Genomic DNA, 17,323 nt, shown 5'->3' with positions numbered 1-17,323 from the left:
ATTCTCCCCATTTACTTTTTTTTTTCCTTCAAGGTCTCAGTGTAATTTTATTTGATGTTTAATGTTTGTTTGTTTGTTTATTTTTGAGACAGGGCTCGCTCTGTCGCCCAGGCTGGAATGCAGCAGTGCAGTCACGGCTCACTGCAGCCCTGATCCCCCAGGCTCAGGTGATCCTCCCACCTCAGCCTTCCAAGTAGCTGAGACTACAAGCATGTGCCACCACACCTACCTAATTTTTTACTTTTTGTAGAGACAGGGTCTCACTATATGCCCCAGGCTGATCTCTTGAACTCCTGGGCTCCAGCAGTCCTCCCGCCTTGGTCTCCCAAAGTGCTGGGATTACAGGCATGAACTGCCACACCCAGCTTCAGTGTAATTTTAGAACTCATATCAACTCTGGATTCAGCTAATACATGCCATTACATCATTGACCCCATTTTCTTTTAACACAGATTTTTCTGTACCTTGGAGATCTCTTGCATTTCCTCCCTCTCCCCATCCCCCATCCCCCAGCTCATAGTCCTTCATTATAAGGATAGGAATCTACCATAATGTACTTAACCAATCCCCAGTGATGAGCATTTAGGTGGCTCTCTTGCTGTTCAAATGATGCTGCAGTGCAATCCCTATTCTTCTTCCCTATGCTGCAAACACATCATAAATTAAAGTAGTATAAGGGAATTGCTGGCTCTAGGGGTATGTGCATTTAACATTTTGCTAGTTGAGGGTATGTCAACTTGTACTTCCTCTGGCAATATGTCAGAGTGCCTGTGTCACCCTACCTTGTCCAATATAACACATGGTCAGACTTTTAGATTTTGAGGCAAACATATTCATCTCTTTTAGACTTCTTTTTTTTTTGGTCTGTATCTTCATATTCTAAACTATGTGCTTATTCTGCTATTTCCTAATTACATTACTGGAATTATCTATTGTGTTCCTACTTTGAAAGATAAGGATTTAGTTTCATTGCCCTCTGCCCTTGCAAGTACACACATGCACCTGTCTGCTTCATCCTCCTGTTTAGTTAAATCACAGTTTTTCTTTGTATCAGATTTCTTGTTGGCATTAGGATGACTATGTAACTATCGTTCAGAGCCAAGCCATGTAGTGTACTATGATCACCTTTTTTTTTTTATCATTTGTTTTCCCTAGAGTTAAAAAGTGGCCAGGTGCAGTGTCTCATGCCTGTAATCCCAGCACTTTGGGAGGCTGAGGCAGGTGGATCACGTGAGGTCAGGAGTTCAAGACCAGCCTGGCCAAGATGGTGAAACCCCATCTCTACTAAAAATACAAAAATTAGCTGGGCATGGTGGCAGGTGCCTGTAATCCCAGCTACTTGGGAGGCTGAGGCAGAGAATTGCTTGAACCCGGGAGGTGGGTTCAAGCCTCCCAAGCTGGGAGGCGAGGTTGCAGTGAGCCAAAATCATGCCACTGTACTCTAGCCTGGCAACAGAGCAAGACTCCATCTCCAAAAAAAAAAAATTGCTTAGTTTTCTGTATACCTATCCTTCATTAATTTTCTGTGTACTATCACTGATTCTTCCCCCACAACACAATTTGTGTTGTCAGAGCAACACAAATTCTTGTAACCTGGTTAATACATCTGGTCAATTAGTTTCTCTTTCTCCCTTGAGATGTTCCCATAAGCTGCCCGCCTTCCCTCTGCAGTCTGGACTAGTTGTCCTGTGGGCCTGTTTTACGGCTCTCATCCTGGGATCTCCCATCCCATTATCTTAGGAATTCTTCTTGCCTTTATTCCATTTCACATTCTCTGTTTTGTGGATCCCATAACTTCCTTTCTTTCTTTCTTTCTTTTTTTTTTTTGAGACAGACTCCTGCTCTCTCAGGCTGGAGTGCAGTGGCACAGTGTTGGCTCACTGCAACCTCCGCCTCTTAGGTTCAAGCAATTCTCATGCCTCAGCCTCCTGAGTAGCTTGGAGTACAGGTGCGCACCACCATGCCTGGCTAATTTTTGTATTTTTAGTAAAGAAGGGGTTTTGCCATGTTGGCCAGGCTGGTCTCGAACTCCTGGCCTCAAGTGATAGTATCCCATAACTTTCTTTATCTTAAGTTGGTCCTTTGTTTTGGTGGAACACATTTTCTGGTAGTTCCTTGTGAATGCATTGGAGGTGAAGTTTTTATTTTATTATTTTTATTTTTCTTCGCATAAATACAAAGAGAGGATGAAGGTGAATTTTTTTTATGCCTGAATGACAATTTCTTTATTCTGTTCTCATACTTCATTTACTTTGTCTGGGAATGGTCACTAATTTTTCCCTCAGCATTTAGAAGGAAGTGATCTATTATCTTCTCACCCCCAGTGTTGCTTTTGAAAAATTTATGTGAACCTGATTCCCAGGTCTTTGTGATGACCTGCTTTTTCCCCCTCCAGAACTTTTAAGATCTTCCAAAGTTTCTTAATAATATACTTTGGTGCGGATCTTTTCTCATTTCTTGTAATGGCTACTTAGTAGGATCTTTAACCTGGAATCTTATGTCCTTCATATGTGGGAAAATTTGTTGTGTGACTTTGGCACTTTCCTAGCTCATATTTTCTCTGGAACATCATATTTCTTACTGGAACATCTAAATTAGATGGTGGAATTCCTCATTTGATTCTTCTATTCTCTTATACTTTCTCTTCTATTTTTTATCTTTGTCATTTGATTTGACATTCTGGGAAATTTCCTCAACTTAACTTTCTAACCCATTTGTTGAATTATTTATGTCGCTCATAGTTTTAATTTACAAGAGCACTTTCTTGTTCACTAAATGTTATTTTTTCATATCATTTTATTTATTCCTATTTCAAAGATGTAATAATGCTTCCTTTTATCTTTCTGAGGATAATTTAGGGTTTTTTTTTCCTGAAGCTGTATTCTGCTTACTGAACTGTATCCATGTCCTCTGAGTCATTACTTTTCTCTATTTGCTGTTGGTCATCTTTCATGTTACAGTCTTTTTTTGAACATTTTAAACAGCTTTATTGAGATACAATTCATATACCATACAATTCACCCACTGAAAGTGCACAATTCCATGGCTTTAGTATATTCACAGAGTTTGCATCCATCACCATAATCAATTTTTGAACATTTTCATTACTCCAGAAAGAAACCACATACCCAATAGCCATCACCTCCCAATCCCCCCAGTTAATTCCCCAGCCCTAGGCAACCACTAATCTACTTTCTGTCTGTATATTCTATACATTTCATATAAATGGAATCATACAATACATGATCCTTTGTTATTGGCTTCTTTCACTTAGCGGGTTCATCATATTATATTAATAGCGTGTATCAAAATCTTATTATTGCTGAACAGTATTCCAGTGTATGGATATACTACATTTTATCTATCCATTCATCAGTTGATGGACATTTGGGTTGTTTCCACTTTTTATTATGAATAATGCAGCTGTGAAGATTCATGAACAAGTTTTTGTGTGGACATGTGTTTTCATTTTTCTTGGGTATGTATCTTGAAGTAGAATTTTTGGATCATATCACACCTCTCTATTTAACCACCTGAGGAACTGCCAGGTTGTTTTCCAAAGTGGCCACACCTTTGAACATTCCCACAAGCAGTATATAGGGGTTCCAGTTTCTTCACATTTTCATCAACAGTTGCTGTTATCTTTTTTTAATTTTTAATTTTATTGATACATAGTGTTTTACATATTTATGGGCTACATGTGAATGCTTTTTACATGCATAGAATGTGTAATGACCAAGTCAGGTTATTTGGAGTATTCATCATCTTGAGTATTTATCATTTCTATGTGTTGGTAGCATTTCAAGTCCTTTTAGCTACTTTGAAATATACAATACATTGTTGCTAACTATAGTCACCCTAGTCTGCTATGGAACATTAGAACTTATTTCTTCTAACTAACTGTAAATTCCTACCTATTCACCCCCCTTTCTTCATTTCCCCCTTCCACCTTCACACCCTTCCCACCCTTTGGCATCTATCATTCTGTTCTCTATCTTCATATGATCAAGTTTTTTAGCTCCTACATATGAGAGAAAACATGTGGGGTTTGTCTTTCTGGGCCTGAATGATATCACTTAACATAATGACCTTCAGTTTCATCCGTGTTGCTGCAAATGACATGATTTCATTCTTTTTTATGGCCAAACAGTATTGCATTATGTAAATATACCACATTTTCTTTACCCTTACGTCCATTGATGGACACTTAGGTTGATTCCATCTCTTTGCTATTGTGAATAGTGCCACATTAACATGTGAGTGCAGATATCCCTTTGAAATACTGATTTCTTTTTTTTTGGATAGATAGCCAGAAGTGAAATTGCTGGATCATTTGGTAGATTGCATGTTTCCAGAAATTTATCCATTTCCTATAGTTGTACTTTTAGATTTTTAAAAATTTATTTCTCAGCTTGAAAAATAGTAGTAGTTTATTGAGAAATCTCTATACTGTTTTCCATGGTTTCTGTACTAATTTACATTCCCACCAACAGTGTATAAGAGTTCCTTTTTCTCTTCATTCTTACCAACATCTATTATTTTTGTCTTTTTAATAATAGCATTCTAACTGAGGTAAGATGATATCTCATTGTGGTTTTGATTTACATTTTCCCAATGCTTAGTGATGTTGAGCATTTTTTCATATACCCTTTGGCTATTTGTATGTCTTCTTTTGAAAAGTGTCTATTCATGTCCTTTGCCCATTTTTTAATGAAATTTTTATTTGTACATTCTGGATATTAGTCCCTTGTTAGATGAATAGTTTGCGGGTATTTTCTCCTATTCAACAGATTACCTTATCACTCTATTGATTATTTACTTTGCTGTGCATAAATTTTTAAATTTAATACAGTCCCATTTGGCTAGACCAATATCCTGAACTGGTTTCCCTATGTTTTCTTCTATTATTTTTATAGTTTCAGGTCTTACATTTAAGTCCTTAATCAATCTTGAGTTGATTTTTGTATATGATGAGAGATAGGGGTCCAGTTTGCATATGGATATCCAATTTTCCCAGCACCATTTATTGAAGAGGGTATCCTTTCCCTGGTGTAAGTTCTTGGTTCCTTTGTTGAGTATCAGTTGGCTGTAGATATGTGGATTTATTTCTGGGTGTTCCAGTATACTCTGTTGGGCTGTTTTTATACTCATACCATCTGTTTTGATTACTATAGCCTTGTACTATATTTTGAAGTCAGGTAGTGACTGCAAAGCCTCTAGCTTTGTTCTTTTTTCTTAGGATTGCTTTAGCTATACTGGCTCTTTTTTGGTTCTACATGAATTTTAGGATTTTTTTTTTCTGTTTCTGTAAAAAATGACATTTTTGGGCTGGGTGCAGTGGCTCACGTGTGTAATCCCAGCACTTTGGGAGGCCGAGGTGGTTCATTAGGTCAAGAGATGGAGACCATCCTGGCCAACATGGTGAAACCCCATTTCTACTAAAAATACAAAAAAATTAGCTGGGTGTGGTGCCGCACACTCATAGTCCCAGCTACTCGGGAGGCTGAGGCAGGAGAATCGCTTGAGCTTGTGGGGTGGAGGTTGCAGTGAGCTGAGATTGTGTCACTGCACTCCAGCCTGGCAACAGAGCGAGATTCCATCTCAAAAAAAAAAAAAAAAAACAAAAAAAACGACATTTTTGGATTTTTGGTATTTTTGATGGAGATTGTATTGAATCTGTATATTGTTTTGGGCAGTACAGTCATTTTAATGGTATTAATTATTCTAATCCATGAGCATAAGATGAGTTTCCATTTGTTTGTATTCTCTTCAGTTTCTTTCATCAGTATTTTGTGGTTTTCGTTGTAGAGATTTTCCACCTCCTTGGTTAAATTTATTCCTAGGAATTTTTTTCCATGGCAGCTATTGTAAATGGGATTGCCTTCTTGACTTCTTTCTTAGCTAGTTCATTATTGGTGTATAGAAATGCTACTGAATTTTGTATGATGGTTTTGTATCCTGCAGCTTTACTGAATCTGCTTATCAACCCTTAAGAGTTTTTGGGTGGAATCCTTTGGTCTTTCTGAATATAAGATGTCATCTGCAAAAAGGAACAATTTGACATCCTCTTTTCCAATTCGGATGCCTTTTATTTCTTTCTCTTGCTTGATTGCCCTGCCTATGACTTCTAGTACTATGTTGAATACGAGTGGTGAGAGTGGGCATCCATGTCTTGTTCCAGTTCTTACAGAAAAGAATTTCAACTTTTCCCCATTCAGTACGATGTTAGCTATGGGTTTGTCATAGATGGCTTTTATTATTTTGAGGTATATCCTTATATGGCTAGTTTGTTGAGACTTCTTATTATGAAGGGATGTTGAATTCTATTAAATGCTTTTTCTGTGTCTATTGAAATGATCATATGGTTTTTGTCCTCGATTTTGTTGATCTAATGTATCACGTTTATTGATTTGTGTCTGTTAAACCATCCTTGCATCCCTGGGTTAGATCCCACTTGATCATGGTGTATTATCTTTTTGATGCTCTGTTAAATTTGGTTTGCTAGTATTTTTTTGAGAAGTTTTGTGTCTGTGTTCATTGAGGATATTGGCCTGTAGTTTTCTTTTGTTGTTTTGTTCTTGTCAGGTTTTGGTGTCAGGGTAATGCTGGTCTTGCAGAATGAGTTAAGGAGTATTCCCTCCTCTTTGGTTTTGGGATTTTTTTTTTATTTTTACTTTATTTTTTTTATAGACAGGGTCTTGCTCTGTTGCCCAGGCTGGCATGTCATGGCACAATCAATGCTCACTGCAATCGCAAACTCCCAGACTCAAGCAGTTCTCCTGCCTCAGCCTCCCAAGTAGCTGGTATTACAGGCATGTGCCACCTAATTTTTTAGAATAGTTTGAAGAGGATTGGTATTAGTTCCTCTTTATATGTTTGGTAGAATTTGTCAGTGAATCCATCAGGTCCTGAGCTTTTCTTTGTTGGGAGACTTTTTGTTATGGATTCCATTTCACTACTCATTATTGATCTGTTCACGTTTTCTATTTCTTCCTGATTCAATCTTGATAGATTGCATGTTTCCAGGAGTTTATCCATTTCTTCTAGGTTTTCTAGTTTGTTAGCATATAGTTGTTCAGAATAGTCTTTGATGATCTTTTGTATTTCGGTGGCATCAGTTGTAATGTTTCCTTTTTCACTTCTAATTTTGTTAATTTGGGTCTTCTGTCTTCTTGGTTAGTCTAGCTAGCAGTTTATCAATTTTGTTTATCTTTTCTAAGAACCAATTTTCCATTTCATTGATCCTTTGTATTTTTATGTAGTCTCTATTTCATTTAATTCTGCTCTAATCTTTATTGTTTCTTTCCTCCTGCTAATTTAGGAGTTTGATTTGTTCCTCCTTTTCTAGTTTCTTGAGGTACATTATTATATTGTTGATTTGAAACCTTTCTACTTTTGTATATAGGGGCTTAAATCTGTAAACTTCCCTCTGAGTACTGCTTTTGCAGTGTCCCACAGGTTTTGGTCTATTTTGTTTTCATTTTCATTTGTTTCCCTGGAGAGGGCAGTGCCACCTTCAGTGACAGTAGCCTAGGCCTGCAGGTGGGAAATGCCCGTGGTGCTCATACCTCAGCCCCTGCTGTGGTAGCCAGCACCTTGGTTGCCCCTCAGCCCTGAGTGCATAGCCTGTGCACATCTAAGCCCTGAGGACAGCAGGCCATGCTTCTCCTGACCTCAGGTCTGGCTTCACTGGGATCCAGGACAGTGTGCAGTCTGTAGAGGCAGGTCCTAAAATAGAGCTTTGTTTGTGCCTCCACCCCAAGCCTCGAGGATGGTAGCCCATGGTCACCCCTGCCTACAGTTTAGGGGCAGCAGCCCAGGCTTTTCTTGCCCCCATTCCCCTTTAAATGTTAGGCATTGTGAAAGCTGGCTGGAAGCTTCTAGTATATGGATGGGTTTGTGGGCTTCACTGAGGGTTATCAGGCAGGGATTAGATGTTTCACTAGGATACCCCTGCCCAGCACACTAGTGCTTTCTGTGCCTTCTCACTGGGATGCCCTTTCAGATCTGCATGGCTGTGTCCTCCAGTTGTGTAGGTGTTAGCTCATTTGTCACCTTACCCAAGAGACCTTCCCTAAATATGTTAACTAAAGCAATGTGTTCCTCCAAGTCTACTTAACACTGTTTTGTGTTTCTCCATAGCCCCTTTTTAACGCTGATAAATTTGTTTTTTTTCTGTCTCCTTCCCATTAGAACATAAGCTCTTGGAGGGCAGGAACTTTGTTGTATGCTATATCCTCAGGGTCTAAAAATGGGCTTATTCCATAGTAAGGACTTGATCAATATTTATGGAAGAAAGGAGAGAGGGACAGAGAGAGGGAAGGTCGTTCAGTATCTGTAGCTCTTTCCTCTTGGGCCAGTCAGCGGCTCCCGAAAGGGACTCTCCAGTCTCCTGCCTGGGGTTTAAGACTGTATCACGGGGGCCTGAAAGCCAATTGAGGGAAGGGAACTGGGGGGGTCTCACCATCCGGGATATGACTTCCATGTAACTCCTTTGCTCTCAGCTGCTACAGGATTCTACCCTCTGCTGTGCCTAGGTCCCCGGAGTTCAGATCTTCTCTGTTCATGGTCTCCAGAGGGAAATGTGTGTCTCCTGTCAAGGTGAAGGGATGGTTGTCCCCACTATGCAGGAAGGAGGGGAAGGGATTTGAGGAGTGCACCTGCTCCTTTTTCCTTCTTTCAACCAGTCTTCCTGGTTCAGCCCCCTGCACACCTCCACCTTCAAAGGTAGCTGGTGACTTGAGGATCTGAGCCTTTCTAGGGTTCTGTGGTGTGATTCCACTTGCTTTCTGTGTGCCTTCCTCTCTGAGGTGCCGATGCAGAGAGACAGTCATACCTCCTCATTCTTCCTCTTTGTTTTGTGGTCATGCATGTGTCTGCATGTATTAATTAATTAATATATAACACATATATTTGATGGGAAACAAATATTTCTTTAGTGCCATTTTAGTGGAAAGAATGCATTCTGTGCCATGTGTTGAGTTTGCTGTGTTTACTTGCCAGTCTGGCCCTAGCCAAATACTTTCCTGTCTCTGTCTCCCCAGTGTTCAACAGGTCTGCTGCAGAAAAGTTCTGATATGTGCTTTCTCTTTATAGTATGTGCAGTAGAGTCACATAGTTTTCCAGATTCAAGAAGACTAGGCACCCTCACCCTTGCCACAGGATCCTGAATCCTCAGAGAAGGCAAAACAAGGCTCAGGACAGAGAGCTGCTCTCTGCTGAGCACTACGGTCACCCTTTCTCTCGTCACTTATGGGCCTGTGCAGTGTCCTTATCATCCAGAGCCACTCACGCAAACCCTCCCTTGCTGATGGCGACCGTACATTCCTCCCATCCGGTGGCTCTCCTGTCCTCTGCTTCTTTCCGATGGTGACACAGCTGGCTGGAGCCAGCAGCACCACCTGCGAGATCCACACTGCTACTGCAGGACCAACTCCACTTCCCCCACTAATTTTTATATTTATAGTTTAGCTAATTCCATCTCCAGCAAATTCCTGCCCACCTGAACACAGACATTGTTTTAATCCCTTTCTCCTCCTCTGTCTCTTTCTTTTTATTTATTTCAAGAACTGTTTAAAATCCATAAGAGAATAAAAATAATAAAACATTTGCTCACATACTTATCCCCAGAATTGACCCTATTTAATATTTTTTGCATATACTTCAAGTCTTTTTTATTTTAATCAAAGAAATGAAACATTCTAGTTAATGCTGAAATCTCCTTTGTTCCCCATCAGCAGTCCCAGTCCTCGCCCTCTCCTCAGCGAACAATCACTGTCAAGAATTTAGCATCTATCCTTCCAGAATATTTCACACTATTTTACAGACCTGTACGTTTTCCTGAGTCATGCATACAGTTTAGTGTGTGTAATCCCATATTGTACATATTGTCCTCTAACTTGCTTTTGAGCAAGGCTTCTGTTTTAGATCTTTTTCCATACTGATCTTTTCATAGAGCACCTGCTGAGCCTCTTTTCTTTCCAGTTTGCCATATGTGTGAATGTAAAGATGTGAGAGTAATAGCCAACAGTTAATTTGCTTTCACCACATGCCATGCTCTTTGTGTTTTCTCCTTGAGTCCTCACAACCCCAAATGGTAAGTACTGTTATCACCCCTACTTCACACGGGAAACGGAGACTTTAGCGGATGGTCACTTACCTGAGGCCACCTTATGATCCACTCGTGTGTATGATCCATATGGTTCTGGCCCCGGAGGCATGACACAGACACGTAAATGAGGTGTCAATAATATTCTGGGAGCCAGGAAAATAAAACCCAGGGGACAGTGACTAGTCAGTGCCTTGGCCTCTAAATTATTTGAAAGGTCTTCATCTTGCCCTTTGGTGGAAAGAAACTAAGCTCACAGTCATTAAATCTGGCTTCTATTGCTGACTCTATCCTGACAGCTCTAGGATGTCGCACAGATTACTTCTCTTCTCTTTGCCTCAGTTTCCTCGCCTCTGAAATGGGATTCAGATTGCCTGGCTGCCTACCCAAAAGATTGTGTTGGGAACCAAATGAGATAGATCACGACTCTAAGACACTTTGTAAACCAGACAGTGGTCTGTGGATGGGGAAGTCTTTTAGGATGACAAACCTGGCCCGTTATTTTAACTTTCCTTATTAACAGACCGCCTACCATGTTCCAGCTACATCCCCATGATTTCATTTGCATTACAGAATTTAATCCTCATTCCTCAAGCAGCAGCTTTAGAAAGATTGTTTTAAATCCCTTGTTTTTCTGGCTTGCTTAATTACTACTCTGACAACAATATCTCTTTTTTGCCTCTTTCACATATACATAGTATTTTAGCTTCATTATGGGTTAAATTGAGTTTTGTGGGTGGGTCTGGGCACCCTCTCAAAATTTATAGCTTTATTTCTATGGAAAAATTGTTTCCAAGCATCAAACAACCAACTACAAGGCAAGTTTTGGAACATCACCTGTTTATAAGTTGGGACCACTGTACTGTTTGCATTGTTGTCTAATGAGTTTGTGGAAGGAGAGCTCATCTCCCTGGTGAGATTACACACTTCTTAAGGAAGGGGCACTACATCTTGCACATGTCCTCCATAACACCCAGCCGGTGCCATGCACAAGAATGTATTCAAAACATACTTATTTAATTCTTCCAAAGCCCAGCTGCTTGTCTGCCTCCAAGACATGGGTGCTGATGGGAGTCACCTTGGGTGTCCCAAGAACCTCTGTGGTAATCATTGAATCATATACTGTCAAACTTGACAGCTCACAGATGAGGCCCAGGAACACTGTATCTCACTGGCTGAATGTAATTATAGTGGTAATAACACTATCAACTAATTTTTGTAGTATTTAATATATGCCAATACTTTTCTAGATGTTTTATATTTGTTAATGTATTTAATCTTTACCAAAATAATTTAGGTAGTTATTCCTATTATTCCCATTTTACAGATGAAGAGACTGCAGCCTAGAGAGGCTAAGCAACTTGCTTAAGGTCCTAGAGCTGTTAAAAGCACAAAATAAAGATTCAAACACTGGCAGCCAGGGTACAGAGCCCATGCTCTCCACCCCTGTGCCACATTGCCCCTAGTCCCGAAAGACCAGGAGTAAAGCCTGCTGTCTTGACCGTCACCCATGACCCTCTCCACTGGAATACTTGGCGTAATAATACAGTGCTGGCATTCTCACTGGCTCCAGGCCGTGTGATCTGTATTGTTAAATCCTTGGACAATAGGCAAGATAGGTACTCTGTTTAATGCTTATGTGTATTAGACATTCTACCAAGTTCAAACAGTACAGAAAAGCACCAAAGTAAACTAAATGGCTCTTGAAATTCTTCCGTCCAAAGCTAAAATCTGGACCAACATTTTGGCAAACATTCTTATAGACATCTATGTTTTAATACATACGTGTATAGTTCTGCACATGTGTGCATGGGAAAGAATAAAAAATAATTTAAAAAGTAAATAAGTTTAAAATTTTTATTAAATAAAAAATAATTAAAAATTTAAAAATAATACGTATGTGTATAGATACATATTTAAATTGGACATAATTGGGACCTCATTCTAGATGCGTTTCTGTGAGCAGGTGACTGGTGTTATTTCTGTCAGCATTCCGGAGAGGGTAACGGTTCATCCAGTCAGAGCCAGTATGGGGTTGGGACATCAATCCTGCGTGGGTTTTTTTGTTCTTATTAAGCTTTTTTGTTTTTATTAAGACCATATTTATTTTTTAACAATTCACTGCTCCTGTTCAAACACCCTCCTCTCAGCGCCCAGCCCTGGCTCTGAACTGGGCGGGCTGCCATGCCTCTAGCAGTCTGTTGTCTTTCCTGGAGGTTTTGCCTACTAGAGAAGAGATTCTGGGTACCTGGTGAGTTGGAATATTTATGCAGCTATCAATAAAGCCCAATAAACATGGCAGTCAAGGTTTTGCATTGACTAAACAATGCAGGTGGTTTTCTGGCCCTGTGAAATCTCAGCCAAGGCAGCTCCTTTGAGGTTTCATAGTGATTGCAAATGTGGTGACCACTCTGGTGCCACCTTGTCATTTCCCCTTCAAGCAACATGGCAAGTTATTCTGAAAAAGTTCAGGGGAAATGGAATCTGATGGGGGGAGACAGATGCTCATTTCCTTGTCCTAACCAACTTCCCTTACTACTGATACTTTGGTTTAGAATTGCTATCCGGCTCTGCTGAAAATGAAATCATATATTCAACTCTCAGGCTGAAGTCCAGTGTGATTAGACATTAATGCAGTGTAATGGAAGATTGGTATTAAATTGAGACCTTCTGATCTTCTTACTCCTCAAAGTTCCCTCCCGCTCAGACTGCTGCCCTGCCAGCCCTGCCTCCCCTGCCTCTCCTGCCTCCCCATGCAGAAGCAAGGGCAGTGGGGCCAGAGCCCAGAGCCCAGACTGACGTAGGGAGAGGAGAGTGGAGGCAAGAGGAGCAGCAAGGGAGATAGGGGAGGGAGACCCAGGTTCAGGCCAGCTCTGCCCAGGACGGCTCCCAGCGAGACCTCACTGCCTGGGCTCCTCAAACCTCCTCTACATCTTGGAGGGAGGAGTGCGTGGGACCACAGGGCCGTGATTCTGGGCCTGCCTTCACTCTCAGAGCCACACGCATGTTGTTGAGGACTAAGAGCTTCCAACTGTCCAGAATCACTTGGATATTTGACAGGCATTGAGCTAAAAGGCTGAAAAGAACAAAATCTTTGCTCAGTTTCTTCCACTCCCACCGCCTCCCCAAGCCAGTCCTTTTTGTGAAACTGACTTGAACCTAATAGCTGTCACCAGCTACTGTCACTCATCCTACTTCTTTTTCTCTTTCTGGAGGCGTGGCCTGAGAAGCAGCCAGTGGGCCAGCTTTAGTGTACTCTTAGCTTCCTTTAGGGACAGGGATGGGACTCTGATGTCCCAAACAGTGTGAACCTTGGCCAGGGGCTGCTCCCTTCACTTCCCCTCACCTGCTGGAGGAAGGACATGAGTGTGTGGTCAGTTCCACTGCTTGGCTCGCAAGAGACAGCTAGGCCTGTGGAAACCCCACAGGGCCTTGCAGGCTCCCCTGCCGGCCCATGGGCTGCATCCCATCTAGCAAACTCCCCAAGAGAGCTGGGGGTCTGGGAGGACAGCAGTCGCCCACCGAGAAAATAGGCCACCAGCACAAGCCCTGGGCATGGTCAGATGGCGTCACCTTCATGTGTGAATAAGAGCATTTTTATGGAGACAGTGATTTTTCTTTGTTTCCAGAACACTGGTTTCAGGGGCACAGACTTTACACACAAGATGGTAATGACTTTTTAATGACCTTAAGGGGACTGGTGTCCAGGCAGCAGTGAATCAATCTCAGTGGGAGGTTCATAGTGAGAGGGAAGATGGAACACCTGAAACCAAAGGGGGAAAAACAAACTGCAAATACATATATATTTTCTTTGCTAACATTACTTGGTAATTAGACAATTACAGGAAACAGCTTCCAGCAGCTGGCATTTCCACTGTGAGAGCGGAGGAGGGATGGCAGCAACTGTGAACTCCTCACATTTATTACAGAAAATATTATTGGAGTTTACAGTCGTGGGTGCCATGCACTCCTCCAGTGCATTCTGATGAGCTGCTGAGCGTTCAACCAAGAGCAGAACTCCTCCTCTCAGGATCTGCTCAGGGCCTGCTCTGCTGAGTCTTAAATGAGCTGGCCTGGCCCATGCTGATCAATGAGGAATTGCCTTGAAAATATCGGGGATGCTTTCGAAACCACCCAGACAGAGTCAGGCCAGTCTTAAGAATAGACAGTGTCGGGGGCAGCGTTTTGGAAGCAGGAAAGAAGGGGGTAGAGGCCTGTGGAGAACTTGCCACAACCCCCATGTGCCATCACTCACATGGTGGGGTCAGAGGGTGGTGCAGGACCCCCACTGCCCCAGCCCAAGTGCTGACCTCTGCAGCCCTCCTGCATGCCTGCCCTCTTCAAAACTCTCCTCCTCCCAGAAGCCTGCCGAGCTGAGTAGCTGCTCCCGCTCAGATGCGCATCTGATGAACGACTGAGGTCATTCTGCCAACAGCCCTGGGGTAGGCCCCATCATGGCCCCATTTTATAGATGGGGAAATGTATTTATGAACTCCTGCCACCATGATTACATCTATTTGTCCGCACTTTTTTTTTTATTATTATTATACTCCAAGTTCTAGGATACATGTGCACAACGTGCAGGCCTGTCACATATGCATACATGTGCCATGCTGGTGTGCTGCACCCATCAACTTGTCACCTAACATTAGGTATATCTCCCAGTGCCATCCCTCCCCCCTCCCCCCACCCCTTGTTGTAATGAGCTTGGTCTGCCCTTTGTGCTTGTTTATGGAGGGCTTTGTAAGAAGCCTAAGTGACATTCACAGATGGGGAGGAGTGCCTTCTGTGATGGGATTGTAAGCTCCTGAATAGGGACACTGTGTATGTCCTGCCTCTCTCAGCCATACGTTAGGTGCAGCCCAGCTGCCTGCCCCTCCTATAGTGCAGGTCTCCGAGGACAGGAAGCCCTCCCTCCTCAGTGGACATGACTCCATCGGCCACACTACCAGAGAGTCAACTGCACCATCTAATCAGGCAAATGGTTGTTTCCTCTCACAGGTCCTGGCAGTCAGTAACTTTTGAAAGGCAGCCTGCCTCCTTCATCCGTATCGTTGGGACACACAACACAGCAAATGAGGTAAGGGTCTCTTTTCATGAGAGGTGCCATGAGATTTCATGATGTACAGGTAAATGCTACATCCTGAGTTAAGTGGAATTGTTTGTTCTGCCTGCTAATGGCCTGCTATTCAGACAGCTTGGTGTGGAGAAAGTCCTGCAGTTGCACAGTGGGGTTATCATTATCATTTTTGGATATCTCTTCATTAGCAAATGAAAGCCAGCCCCTATTGCTTTGCTAATTCCTACAGCTCTCTGTGGAATCGGCCAACCACAGAGGGCTTGAGAGGTCAAACACCCCATCCCTTGTCTCTGAGTCCTCAGCCCTCCCAAGTGACAGCAGTTGTATGAGGTTTCTTGCCCCTCTGAGCGTGGCGTCTAGCAGGCGGCCGTGCTGCAGACTTATCACTCCCCTGCTGTTTCGTAGTCACACTGTGTCAAGCGTGTGCCTCCGAGGAACCTCTGGTTTAAGAGAGGCAGCATAGGAAATGATGGGTCGAAATGCAACAGGTAGATGAGAAACATAAAAGTAGCAACATTTCTGCAATTTTACCTTTCTGTGATCTTTCTCAGATTTATGCAGGATTGGCTCTATGGTGTGCCACCAGGACAGTCGCATGGGACCCAGTGCTTGAGGTTTAATGCTCTGTGGCACCATCTTGAAATGCTTAGGGTCTTTTTACCTTTGAATTGTGTTTTATAAATGAAGCTCCACGGCACAGCGGAACACACACCAGGACCTTGGAGCCTCAGCCCACACGCAATCCCGCCTCCTGCCCCTTCCCACCTTCCTGCCATGAGCTCTCAGCCACCCGCTCCCTGAGCCAGGATGCCTGGGTTCTGCTTGGCCTGCCCATCCTCATCTCACCCATGATCACTGCCCTCTCTACTCCCAACAGGGGCCCTGGCACAGGGATGGGCGGAGCCCGAGTCTGGTGTGAGTCCTGAGCTCAAGTCACAGGATAGTGCCCTGGGTGCCTGTGAGGGGCTACACTGGCCGGCAGGGCGGTGGCAGTGGGGTGTCCCTGTGCCCGAGGGAGCACAACATTAAGTAGCAAATAATAACCAGCGTGACAGCTTGAGAGAGAGACCCTAGATGAAAGCAGAAAGGTTTTCTACTGCTTTATGAACACAGGGCTTCTCGTTTCCATCCAGCAAATGGGCCCTGTGCTTGGGATTCATGCATTGTCTTTATGGAATTAAAATTTCCCCAGAACACATCAAGGTGTTTCTGGTACTTCAAAAAGCATTTTTAAACGTGAAAATATTGTGATAATTTAAATTCATTTTGGCTTTTTATTTATTTAGAATAAAAGTGGTCCACATCTACAATGTGTTTCTTGCAGAGAGGAACTTGTAAACAGAAACCTGGAACTTTTCCTCTTGCCTCTTTATTTCAAAACAAATCTGAAAACTATAAAAGTAAACCAACCGATTTTTTCTAAAGAAAAATTCAAGAATTATAAACACCAGGTCATAAACAATTGAAATTTTTACATAGTAACATATTGAAATCGAATTAACTGTTTTTCATTTGCAGTTCTTGCTTTTTATACACTGCATCCCCCCAAAAATTTTAGACTAGTTTTTTAATTCCCAAATGGAACCCTGAAATTTTGTATTATAACAGAAGGAATTCTCAAGTCAGAAAAGGCTAAGAAGCAGCAAGGCAAGTCTGCCCAGGGCCTTCTTCTAGGGCTGCCCTAGGTCCCAACCCTGTTACCTCAGTGACCAAGGAAGAAGAAGAGAATCTTGGACTTTTTTTTCAAAGCTATTCTAGATGAAGAATGATTTCCCATTACAGAGCTCGGAAGTTGGAGTGTGAGACCTCTCTTTGATGATGAGTTTCCCAAAAATCTCTGTGCAAGGGGCCCCAACCACTTTGGTGGAGATTGGACCAGCCATTTTAAATGGGTTGGATAGTAGGTCACTAGTTAACTTGTGATCCATCCCATTTGGCTAGTGAATAACTTGCTCAGTTGTCTTTTTGAATCAGTTATTGATCAGGGGAAAAAAAGCCTCAAAGTAGTGTTGTCAACTGGGAAACATCTTTTTTTTTTTTTTTTTTTTTTTAGACAGAGTTTCACTCTGTCACCCAAGCTGGAGTGCAGTGGCACAATCTCAGCTCACTGCAACTTCTGCCGCCTGCGTCCAAGT

At 42.3% G+C, this 17,323-nt stretch overlaps 1 protein-coding gene and 1 pseudogene across 7 annotated transcripts in view, besides 2 other annotated features; one reads left to right on the top strand and one right to left on the bottom strand.

Moving 5' to 3' along the window:
* Window positions 1-17,323, top strand: part of BTBD9 (BTB domain containing 9) — a 471,479-nt gene that overhangs the window by 432,223 nt on the left and 21,933 nt on the right. For all 7 annotated transcript variants that reach the window (NM_001099272.2, XM_047418145.1, XM_047418146.1 and 4 more), the window contains one exon: window positions 15,110-15,188. In NM_001099272.2, coding sequence (NP_001092742.1) covers window positions 15,110-15,188 — 79 coding nt within the window. The remainder of the gene's footprint in view (window positions 1-15,109; window positions 15,189-17,323) is intronic.
* On the bottom strand, window positions 362-433 carry LOC124901525 (uncharacterized; annotated as a pseudogene).
* Window positions 15,009-15,518: an enhancer, noted in NCBI's record as "NANOG-H3K27ac-H3K4me1 hESC enhancer chr6:38159965-38160474 (GRCh37/hg19 assembly coordinates)". NCBI's record gives its function as "activates a minimal SCP1, AML or CMV promoter by ChIP-STARR-seq in primed H9 embryonic stem cells {active_cell/tissue: H9 hESC(primed)}" and the evidence as "EXISTENCE:reporter gene assay evidence [ECO:0000049][PMID:30033119]".
* Window positions 15,519-16,028: an enhancer, noted in NCBI's record as "NANOG-H3K27ac-H3K4me1 hESC enhancer chr6:38159455-38159964 (GRCh37/hg19 assembly coordinates)". NCBI's record gives its function as "activates a minimal SCP1, AML or CMV promoter by ChIP-STARR-seq in primed H9 embryonic stem cells {active_cell/tissue: H9 hESC(primed)}" and the evidence as "EXISTENCE:reporter gene assay evidence [ECO:0000049][PMID:30033119]".

Source organism: Homo sapiens, chromosome 6 (genome assembly GCF_000001405.40).
Source record: "Homo sapiens chromosome 6, GRCh38.p14 Primary Assembly".
Lineage (NCBI taxonomy): Eukaryota > Metazoa > Chordata > Mammalia > Primates > Hominidae > Homo > Homo sapiens.
Note: the sequence above shows the minus strand (reverse complement) of the source record. Positions and strands in the feature narration are given on the sequence as shown.